This window comes from Homo sapiens, chromosome 9 (genome assembly GCF_000001405.40).
Source record: "Homo sapiens chromosome 9, GRCh38.p14 Primary Assembly".
Lineage (NCBI taxonomy): Eukaryota > Metazoa > Chordata > Mammalia > Primates > Hominidae > Homo > Homo sapiens.
Window position 1 is genome coordinate 13872621 of NC_000009.12, and position 12505 is coordinate 13885125.

A 12505-nucleotide genomic window follows, 5' to 3' on the forward strand; every position below is an offset into this window, starting at 1 on the left:
AATTGATTTCTTTGTCATTGTATAATGACCTTTTTATTTTTCTTTACTTACAGTCTGTTGTGTCTGATGTAAATATAGCTACTCCTGTACACTTTTGGTTTCCATTAGCATGGAATGTCTTTTACCATCCCTTCACATTCATTCCATATGTATCTTTATAGGTGAAGTGCGTTTTTTTGTTTTTTTTTTTTTTTTTTGAGATGGAGTCACTCTGTCGCCCAGGCTGAAGTGCAGTGGCGCGATCTCGGCTCACTGCAAGCTTCGCCTCCCGGGTTCACGCCGTTCTCCTGCCTCAGCCTCCCGAGTAGCTGGGACTACAGGCGCCTGCCACTGCTCCTGGCTAATTTTTTTTTGTATTTTTAGTAGAGACGGGGTTTCACTGTGGTCTCAATCTCCTGACCTCGTGATCCGCCCGCCTCGGCCTCCCAAAGTGCTGGGATTACAGGCGTGAGCCACCGCGCCCAGGTGGTGAAGTGTGTTTCTTGTAGGCAGCAGTTAGTTTTTAGTTTTGTTTTGTTTTGAAATCTACTCAGCCAGTCTATACCTTTTAATTGGCAATTTAAACTGTTTACATTCAAGGTTGTTATTGACAGGTAAGGACTTAATCTTGTCATTCTGTTAATTTCTTCTATTATTTTGTGTATGTTTGTTTCTTTGTTCCTTTCTTCCTTTCTTTGTTCCTTTCTTCCTATCTTACTGTTAATCTTTGCGGTTGGGTAATTTTCTGTAGTAACAACATTTGATTCCTTTCCCTTTCTTATTTGCATATCTGCTCTGAGCTTTTTACAGGCATACCTTGAAGATAATACAGGTTTGGTTCTGGCCCACTGCAATAAAGGAAATGTCACAATAAAATGAGTCACATTAGATGTTTAGTTTCTCAGTACATATAAAAGTTATGTTGATCCTATCTTGTAGTCTATTAAGTGTGCGATAGCATTTTTTTAATTAAAAAATGCCAACAATCACCCGACCCATCAGTAAGTCATAATCAATTTGCTGGTCAAGGTATCTTGCCTCATTGTTGACAGCTATTGACTGATCAGGGTGGTGATTGCTAAAGATTGGGGTTGTTGTGGCAATTTATGAAAATAAGATACAAATTAAGTATGCTGCATCAATTCAGTCTTCTTTTCACAAAAGATTTCTCTTTAGCATGTGATGCTGTTTGATAACATTTTACCCATAGAACTGCCTTTAAAATTAAGGTTGATCCTCTCAAATCCTGCCTCTGATCTATCAGCTACGTTTATGTACTATTCTAAATTTGCTGTTGTCATTTCAACAGTGTTTACAGCATCTTCACCCATAGTAGATTCCATCTCAATAAACCATCTTTTTGCTCATCCACAAGAAGTAACTTCTCATCCATTCAAGTCGTATCATATTGCAACAATTCAGTCACATCCTCATGCTCTACTTCTACTTCTCTTGCTATTCCTATAACATCTTTAACATCAAAGTTACATCAAAGATCACTAATCACATACTACCATAACAGATAAAATAATAGAAGTTTGAAATATTGTGAGAATTACCAAAATATGGACAAGAGACACAAAGTGAGCACATGCTATTGGAAAAATGTTATCAATAGACTTGTTCAATGCAGAGTTGCCATAAACTTTCAATTTGTAAAAAGTGCATTATCTGTGAAGTACAATAAAATGAAGTATGCTTATACTTTTGTGTGATTTCACGATGGTAACTATCATCCTTTCACTTCCAGATGTAGAACTCCCTTAAGCATTCCTTGTAGGGCCAGTCTAATGGTGATGAATTTTCTCTGTTTTTGCCAGTCTGGAAAAGACTTTAGCTCTCCTTAATTTCTAAATGATAGTTTTCCTCGGTATAATATTCTTGGCTGACAGGCTTTTTGTTTGTTTGTGGTTTGTTTTTGAGACATGGTCTGGTCTGACTCTGTCACCCAGGCTATAATGCAGTGGCACAATCTCAGCTCACTTCAACCTCCACCTCCTGGGCTCAAGTGATCCTCCCAGCTCAGCCCCCTGAGTAGCTAGAACTAAAGCACACACCACCATGCCCAACTAATTTTTGTGTTTTTTGTAGAGACGGGGTTTTGCCATGTTGCCCAGACTGGTCTCAACTCCTGAGCTCAAACAATCTGCCCGCCTCAGCCTCCCAAAGTACTGGGATTACAGGCATGAGCCACCATGCCCAGTGTTTTTCTTTCTTTCTTTCAGAACTGTGAATATATTATTCCAATCTGTCCTATCCTATAAGGTTTCCACTGAGAAATCTTCTGTTAGTTTGATGTGAGTTCCCTCATATGAGATGCTGTTTTTAGAAATCGCTCCATCTTTGACTTTTAACAGGTTGACTATAATGTGCCCCAGAGAAGATTTGGGTTAAATTTATTTGGGGATACTTGAGCTTTCGGTATCTGGATATCTGTGTCTCTTCCCAAACTTGGGAAATTTTTAGTTATTTCACTAAATAGGTTTGCTATGTCTTCTTTGACCTTTGCTTCTGAAACTCCTGAAATACAAGTATTTGTTCACTTAATGGTATTCAGGATCCCAGGTACACATGGTCACCAGTGATGGCACATCTGGGGAGATCAGTCTTTGGGCCTCCAAGCAGCTTGTTTAGATGTTGGCACAGGTAGCAGTGAGCAAGGTAGGCAGGCAGGTTTTCAGGGACCTAGGCAGCATGCATGGCATCAAGTGGGGGAAGTTGTAGCAGTGAGCCAATCCTTGGGCCGCTGGGTGATTTTTTTGGCTATAATCCGTGTTAGTAATATCTGCAAGTTTCTCAGTGACCTAGGCTATGGTTGTTTGTGGAGGCCACCAGTGGGCCATCGGTGTGTTAGGGGGGGCAGAGTCACTGTGGGTGACAATGGCCCCAAGCAGCCAGACTGGGAAATGTACACTTCAGCTCCTTGTAACTGGGGACAGCTTTCCTGATGTGCTTGACTGCCTGTTATCCAGGGTGTAGGGCACTCCATGGGTTCAAGTGCCAGGGATGTAGCAGCACCACTGGGTCCAGCTGGTCTCATGACACTGCAGCCTTCTGGGTAGATGTGAGAGGATGCTAGCAGAACCTTGGGTATGTGGAAATGCAGTGGCTATGGGACCCAGGGCATGGTGTAGTCTGGTTGTTCCCCTGATCTCAAAATAGCGCTATGCTACAACAGCCTCTGACCTGGGCAGGTTAGAGGGGCCCCACGACAAATTTCCTCTCTGGAATAATGCAATTGTGTAGACTCAAGGCACCTTCCTATCCCACTGCACATGTCTGGTAGAAATACAGACTTCTGTGGATCTCCTGCTTACCTTTCCCCCATAGTAGGGAGTCCCCCCCTTGACTTGGAACCAATCCTGGCCAGCTGCTTCACTTCCCTTTATATGCTGCTCTCAAGTTTCTGTGCCTCAAAGGGTCTTTGTCATTTCTTTCCTGTATTCTAGTATTCTCTCTTAGATGCTCTAGACATGTGGTTATTTATGTTTTGCTCCTTCTCTGTGAAGGAGGTAAGCACTGGGCACCTGTAGTCAGCCTCTTGATCTCCAATTTTTTTTAACAGCAACTTAACTGATAGGATATTCTCCTCATATTGTCTAGGACACTGAAAGTGATACAAAAGTTATATTTGAGGCCGGGTGCAGTGGCTCATGCCTTTAATCCCAGCACTTTGGGAGGCTCAGGTGGGCAGATCATCTGAGGTCAGGAGTTTGAGACCAGGCTGGCCAACAAGGTGAAACCCCGCCTCTACTAAAAATACAAAAATTAACTGGGCGTGAAGGTGCATGCCTGTAATCCCAGCTACTTGGGAGGCTGAGGCAGGGGAATCCCTTGAACTGGGAGGCAGAGGTTGTAGTGAGCTGAGATTGTGCCACTGCACTCTAGCCAGGACAACACACAGAGAGACTCCATTTCAAAAATGTATGTATATTTGAGTCTTAAAATAACAGAGATAGAAGAGTGAGAAATTATAAGGCAAGGCCTCAAGAAATTGCATAGTTGAAAGAAAATATATTTGTCCATATACAAATTGGTTAAGTATAGCCCACCTCAGTGGAAGGTGGTATGTCTAGAATTACTGGAAAAAGTGCTTATTAGTAATTTACAGGAAGAAAAACAGCCTTCGTGTCTCTCAACATTAGGAAGAAAGAGTTCATCTTCAAACCTGTCCACCCCAAATCAGGACATCACTCTTCCCAAGAAAAAGAACCAAATACAGAAGTATACATCCCTTTTCATTGCTGTAACATGGGACAGGACTCTCTTTTGGCCAGAACAAAAAGGCAGAACACAGAGGACTTGCATTAGAGGCAGAGAGATAATGTCAGGCTGTGCAGATAGTAAAAGAAGCCAGACATTCTGTAGAGTAACACAGCTGAATAACAACAGTGATATTAAAATAGAGAGCCTTCTATGGCCATGAACAGTACTAAGTGCTTGAAATATAATAATCCATTAAATCCTTTTAACAACCCTAGGTGTTAACGATCCTTTCTGTCCCCATTTTATAGATTAAAAAACTGAGATATGGGAAAGTTAAGTAAATTGCCTAAAATCAGAGAGCCAGGATTTGGTCTAGATAGTCTGTGCTCATAACCACAGCATTATGCTAAACAAAGAACAGAGATTTCTCTAGGAAAGAACAAAGCTATTATTTTACCTTATATAAGGTTATTTTCTATTTAATCCAAATTCATGGGATGAGGCATAAAGAAGATGGAGGGGGAGATTAGAAATAAATATCAGGACCTTAGAGAACCATATCTGTAATGCATTCTGTAGGGTTACTTTTACGTACACAATATTTTGTGTGATCCATGATATGGACCCTTCTCTCTGGCTGTGTTCTGTATTTCAGAAAGTGATTCAGAAAGACCTCTAAGTCATAATGATTCCAAGCTTAATTCAAGCCAACCATCCAGTATGGTTTGCTTTTAAGTTCAGATGGGCAAACTGTATTAAGATGATGGGGAGGAGAGGAGGGAAATTATTTTATTCATTGTCGTGATAGATATAATTAAGTTGTAAATAACTCAGAAGTACCAAGGGAGAACTGCTGCAATCCTAAATAATGATTAAACCAAGCCTAAAAGAGACCAAAAAGAATCAGGCTTTCTGAACAGAACAGAAGGCTACACAGAAACTGTCTTTAAATGTGAGAGCAAACATATACATAAACTGGTGACATTCAACTTCAGGATGAATTCCTTACTCCAGATTTTGTAAAGCACAGAAATGCAGTGACTTCGTATTTTTAATTTTTTAAAGAAAAAAATACATAGCCCTGGAGTGATTTTAATGCATTCTTTCTCTGAGACTGGGACTTGATTAGATGGCAATTCAAGGTCCTGCAAATGCTGATCATGATGGAACCTAACTCCTCTACATATAGCCACAGCAAATGTTGGCAGGCACTCTGATGGTAGGCACTGCTGTTCCATTGCTCCATAGGCCATTATTACAACCCCAACAGTGCCAAGAGCAGATGTGTTTTTTTGTTTGTTTTTTTTTTTTCTGTTGTTGTCGGTGGCATGGAGTCCTATATCCCATAAATGTAAACTAGGTTTAATTTGGACTTTTAGTTAGAAAAGAAAAAGTTGGTTCTTAAGGGGAAAGATTTCTAAGGACCTCCCTTCAATACTGTATAGCAAAAACACAGAACATGCCATATGAACCTCACTTGGGAAATTTAAATAAGGAGCTTTAGAAACATAACGTGATTTGGCAAGAACGTAATTTGAATGTGGTTGTGAGGTCCCACTAGCAACATATGCTTTTACTAAGCTGTACTATTCCTTTCTTTCACAGTCTGAGCTTTTAAAATGTTACTTTATATTTTCTATGATTATCATTCAGAACCAAAACCAAAGTAGTTAACTCTGAATAAAACTATCCTATTATAAAATTAGAGCTCATCCTGAGGAAGAGAGGTAGGGGGGAATGTTTAAATGTGACCCCTTTCTCTTCTCTCCACCCCTTCCAAATACACTCATAAAAACTAAAACCGTGATGGGGGGGGAATGGAGGAAAAGTCTGTTTATGATTATGAATTGAACTTTGAACCATTCCTATTGTTCCTGCCAAGGATTTTTGAATGCTAATGTAAAAAGATATATATAAAGTAAGATCTGCTAAGGTATTTTAAGAGTCTACAGTAATGCACCAAGCTTTTTTCCTTGCTTCATTGTTAAAGATAATATGCCTTTCTAACAAAAATGCTTTCAAGATGTAACCATATTTTGAAATGAATATCATAATACATCCTTTGCAAGCCTGGAATTTGGAAACAAAGAACTTGCTTTAATCTGTTTTTCTTCTTACCTGATAAGCAGGATGACAGTGCTGCTGGAGGAGGTTTAGACCTGTCCCCAGTCTCATTTGCTTTTCTTCCTCTTTCTTCATCGTGTGGGCCCTGACAACCTTTCTTTCTGAAGCTACATAAATTAAACAGGGCTAAGACTATCAATTTTTGTACCAGCTCCAAAACAAGCCAAGACAAGAAAGAATCCTCCAGTTGATCGACAGACTTCCAGTATTTCTGCTAAACTGGTAGAGCGGTGAAGTCTCCATGCTTTCCTCTCTAATGAAATAACATCAGAGGTTGGATCCTTGGCTGTCTTTAATTTTTTCCCTTTTACGTAGCTAAAAAGATATTTCAAATGATGTAGAAAGACAAAATAAGCCAAGTTTATATTCTCCTTTATTGTTCATTCCTTCTATTTCACAAATGCTTCTAGTCTTGGGGTATCAGCTCCCCTGAAAGTCAGATCTAAGAACCTCAGCACACAAGCCCTGAAGTGGCCTGAAGTTCACAGGAAACCAGTGAACTGTGCTGCCTGAAATGGTCTTCAAACACTGATGAGTTGATTTTTCCTTTATGAGGTCTGGATCAACAAAATAACTTGTGATTTTTCAGATAGGTACATAAAGGATGGTTTATAATAGGTAATCAAAGGAAAAGGGTGGTATGATTCAATTTGCAAAGTAAATGATACATCAGTAGAGCCATCTGATTAGAAGACATAATTAGTGAAGGCAATAACATGAAGGATCTACTAGCTCCTAAGAAAAGACTCAGCAGATAGAAGGGTCCCAATATATTTTAGTTGAAACTGGATCTTAGATCTGACTTTAAAATCTAGGTTTCTGTGTGGACCTTAAGAAAAACTTCTATCAGCTTTCCTAAGAGAGGTTTTGGTAAAGATTTCCAGCCTTTAGAGGAAGGCTTAAGGATCCAATTTTTTCATGAAGAACATTAACCACCATAAAAACCTTTCTATTGTCAACACCCTTCAGCCTTCTAGAAAGAAGAACACTGCTATGAATTGTAAAGCCTACCAATCTTCTCCAACAGTGTACAACATTGCATTAGAGGAAATTTGATCTCAACAGAATAAATCTCTATTATTTCCAACAGACATAAGAATTTACATATGGTAAATTTCTAAGATTATGTGGGGGTTTTGGCACCTTTCTCCTACATTCTGCCTAATTAATGGTGGTATCTGGGTTCCAACAAAGCCCTCCTCCATGGGAAGCCTATGGGCCCCTCTTCTTATTCCACTCAGAATCAAAACATTCGCAATATTATTTCAAGATTGTGGAATTTCACAAAACCACTGCATTACCAGACAATTATGCATGCAATATTGTCTAATTGGCTAACTCCAGGAACAAAAGATGGACAACTGTTACAGTTATATTCTGATGAATTCAGGCTAAATGTGGCTTGAATCAAGGAATATGGTGACCCTAAAATTATAATGTTAAAAACAAATATGCAAAACTAGTAGTTTTATATCTTGTTCTTTCCTCTCATATCTGTGGACATTAAAAAAAAAAGCCTATGCAGCTTTTCACTAGTCTGAAATGGTATAGGTTGGAGAAGATTTTAGACATTTTGGACTTAATAGACAAAAACAATGCAGTTAAAATGTATTAAGCAATTTACATAAATTACCAAAACATTATCAAAACTACTCTATGAAGTAAGTGCAAATGGTATCCCCCTTTATGAATGAGAACACTGAGGCTTTGAAAAGTTGAGTGAACCAATCACTTACAGCTAGTAAATGACAGAACTGTCTCTGAATCAAGGTTATTTTTATATGTGTTTAGACTCCTGAAAACAGTGACTTGGAAAGTGTGTTTGTACAAATGAATGTGTGTATGTGCACGTGCTCGTTAAAGAGAGAGGGAGAGATTGAGAGACTCACCCTTGCCCCTCTTTGCTTTCTTATTAGTACCATCTATAAAATACCAAGTCTTTCGACCCAGCAATCCCATTACTGGACATCTACCCAAAGGATTATAAATCATTCTACCATAAAGTCACGTGCACACATATGTTTACTGCAGCACTACTCACAATAGCAAAGACTTGGAACCAACCCAAATGTCCATCAATGATAGACTGGGTTAAGAAAATGTGGCACATATACAGCATGGAATACTATGCAGCCATAAAAAAGGATGCGTTCATGTCCTTTGTAGGGACATGGATGAAGCTGGAAACCATCGTTCTGAGCAAACTATCACAAGGACAGAAAACCAAACACCACATGTTCTCACTCATAGGTGGGAATTGAACAATGAGAACACTTGGACACAGGAAGGGGAACATCATACACCGGGGCCTGTTCGGGTGTAGGGGGCTAGGAGAAGTATAACATTAACAGAAATACCTAATGTAGGTGATGGGTTGATGGGTGCAGCAAACCACCATGGCATGTGTTTACCTATGTAACAAAACTGCACGTTCTACACATGTAACCCAGAACTTAAAGTATAATAAAAATAAATAAATAAAATAAAATAAAATACCAAGTCTTTGGCGAACTGGAACCCTGGGCTTATAAACTATGCGCAACATTGCTTAATTAATCCCTATTCCCCATGGGGTATTGTGTTATGACTTATGATAGCACTGTCCATAGCAGCTTCATGGCAGAATGAAACCCAGAGGAAGAAAAACCTCTAAGAGAATTTAAAGCAAACAAACAAACAACAACAAACACCATCACGGGCAAACAGCATAATCAAGAATATGCTTCCTTGACATTCCCTCCTTAGCATTCCCTAAGTACCCACTGTCCTCTGTGAATTTCACATTTCTCAGTGTGGGCAAGAACTGAGTATTCTGTCCTTCTACCACTTATTCCAGAGAAATCAGTATTTAGTAGATACATATTCACCATTCTTGCCAACCATAATGAGAAATATGTCATAGCCAGTTGACTATGACAAAATAAAAATAGAATGTGTCAAAATTGAAGAAAGAGTCTGGTGTGACTTACATTTTTACCTTCACAGAACATGACGTGTTCAAAGTACATTGGAGTATCGTGTTGAATGTCCAACAGGAATCATTTTTTGTACATCACTACACCTGAAAATGACAAGGGAAGCAGAAAGAAAAGGGTTAAGAAGAATTAAGACAGAAAATGAGATGAAACAATGATAAGGCATCACTCCGATAGGCAAGACACAGGGTAGTATAGAAGACAATAAGTGAATTTTGGAGTAAGAACTAGGTGCAAATCCCCCCGTTAATACCTATTAGTTGTGTCTCATTGAACATATTAGTTCACTTCTCAATATCACTTCTAACCTCAAAAATAGGAAATGACAATACCTAATTTGAAGGATTGTTAGAATTGAACAAAATTTCCCTTATCCTCTGTGGGGAAAGTTGAAATTTTTCACCAACATTCATTATCCTTTTCTTCCATAGCAACTGAGTTGTAATTGGAGTGTAGCTATCCAGCTAAAAACTACATGTTCAATCCTCCTACCTCTTATAGTGTAGTGTGGCCATGTCATTGAGTTCTTGACAGTGGAATGTGAATGAAAATGGTATGTGCTTCTTCCCAGCTTGATCTATTGAATCTTGCACACACATTCTCTATATCATTTCATTCTTTCTGCTGGCTGGAATGGCCATCCCAAAAGCAACGCCGAGGATAATAAAACTGCATTAGCATATGCCCCAGGAAAATGGCATAGTGATGAGAGCTGCTGCTGAACTGTAACATCTTCCCAAGGCTATTTTGAGGCCAAAAAAGCCTATGTTCTTTAAGGTATTAAATTACCATTGAGTTTGTTTTTACAGTAGTTTAAACTACCTTAACTAATATACCTGGGCAATTTAAGCATTGCAAGTAGTACCATATAAAGCATAACTTCTACCTTTAGGAGCGTGCAATCTAGTTGAAGATTTAAGGTGAACACACAGGAAATTGTACCCCAAGACAGTATGTGGACAAGGGTGAGCTAATGGCATTGGAAAAGATCATTATATGTGTTGAACAAATAATTTCATTTTCCTGTTGGTCACCAAATAATTCTACACTTCCTATTTCTCTTTGTATCTGCATGGGACAGTATGTCTAATGATGGCCAACAGGATGTGGAAGAAAGTCGTATATGTCAGTTCTAAGCCTGGCTCTTCAAATGCCCAGTGAAATCCTCATATTGTCACTCCTTGTTCTATTGACTGCAGAATCTCCATCAGAGGCCTCTGAGTGGGCCTATGGGATACCATGGTGGAAGGATCCAAGCTCCTCATTGAGGAGGGCAGCCAACAGAGCCACCTGCCCAAGAATATTGGTTCTGAAGCTTGCCTAAAAAAGAAGTCATCTTTATAATGCGATAAGCCACTGAGACTTGGGGTTGTTTGACATAGCCATCAGCCTAGCCCGTCTGATGTAATGATGGAGATAAGTGATCAGAAAAAGAAGCAAAGAAAATTCTTGTGTGTGGGAATGATTGGAGGTGGTTTCTTCAGGGGTTAGTATTTGAGCTCATTTAGTTAGTAGAAATGATGGAGGAGGACAGATGGTGAATGTCGTTAGTAGTTTCAGATTTTACTGTGGTCATTTTCCCATCTTCTCCAGACCAAACATTTACTCAATAAAGCATTTTCCATTTAACTTCTCAGATGTTATTAAGCCAAGAACCCCTTCTTTTCAAATGGAATCTCATATAAAATCCTGATATTTAAACAGATACTACTTTAGATACTCTTACTGAAATAAAAACAGGGCTAGTTCTGACTTCTTGGCCACTTTCTTACTAATTACATGCCCCTAGATCACTCCCATGGAACCCCAAAATGTTGAAACAGAATTTGAGCATCAGTGTATCAGAATACACTCAGATGTAATATAATAGGTTTGCTCTAGCTCTTCATGGGGGAACCGCAGTGTGCAATGGATTACAGAGGATGCATCAGCAAACTGTGGAGTTGAGCAGAAAGCCAGTCTAATTACCCAGGAGAGACCACCCTTAAACAGCCTCATCAACAGAAGTAACATACCCAATCTGTCTGTTTCTCTACTACATACATTCACTTTTTAAAACTAAAGTTCCGCATGATTCTTTCCTATGAGAATGATAATTTAAAACTGAAGCTAACATCCTCTCAAAAGTAGCCAGTCTGGAGAGGATTCTGGGAAGAAGGAGCAGGAAACGCCAGGAATCTGTCTCCCCACATAGACAACAATTACACTGGCAGAATCTGTCTAATGTAATTATTTTGGAACTCTGGAGTCTTGCAGCTTTTACAGGAAGGCTTTGATAATAAGTTGCTTAGTGACAGATCAATTCAGCTTTTAGCACAGCAGCTCCCCACTCTCACCACCAGCCCTGTAACAGGCAACTGTGCATGTGATCCTAGAGCAACTTGTATACACCTTAAGGAATCCAGGGTGGGCAAAAAACTCTATCTTCCAACTAGTAAGGATTTGTGCTGTCATTGCTGCTACTGCTTTCGATCACAGAAGTGTAGATAAAGGGGAGGGAGGTCATTGTTGTTTCACCTCCCCACAATCCCTTATTGCAAGCCCCACTCTTTTTGGGTGAAGTGACTCCAAATAATTTAAAGGGAAAGTGCCCCTCTTTTGTTTCCCTGCTTCATTTTTCTTTTTCTCATTTGAAAGCCAGACACTGAATCCTAGGACATTCAAAAGCAACTGCATATACGGGGAAAATTAAGAAGTGATCATGCATGACTAGGGAAACGCACAGGGTCAGAAAAGAGCTGAGGAAACCTTAGGTTTATACCTTAGACTAATCTTTGGCACAGAGGCAGACTACAACAATAAAAATAAAACCAAAAAAAAAAAAAAATCATACTCTGGGTAAGGAGAATCTGATTTGCAGAATTACTTCATTATTAGATTCAAATATCCAGTTTTCAACAAAAACAATTAGAAGCACACAAATAGACAAGTATAACCCATTCAAAGGGACAAAAACTAAATAAACAGAAAGTGTCCATAAGAAAGACCTGCAGAAATTCTGCTAGATTAAAGATGCTCAAAGAACTATAGGAAAACATGGAGGATGTTAAGAAAATGATGTGTCAACAAAATGGAAATAGCAATAAAGATAAAACCTAAAAAGAAACCAAAAAGAAGTTCTGGAGCTGAAAAGCACCATAACTGAAATGAAAAACTTATTAGATGAATTCAAGGGCAGATTAGAGTAAGCAGAAGAAAGAATAAACAAATCAACAAGACAA

The 12505-nt window shown here is 39.1% G+C and overlaps 1 long non-coding RNA gene across 2 annotated transcripts in view; it reads right to left on the bottom strand.

The window, feature by feature from the left end:
* The window catches only part of LOC101929507 (uncharacterized), a 203870-nt gene that overhangs the window by 56398 nt on the left and 134967 nt on the right, over positions 1-12505 (bottom strand). For both annotated transcript variants that reach the window (XR_001746621.2, XR_001746620.2), the window contains one exon: positions 9279-9370. This is a non-coding gene — a long non-coding RNA (uncharacterized LOC101929507). The remainder of the gene's footprint in view (positions 1-9278; positions 9371-12505) is intronic.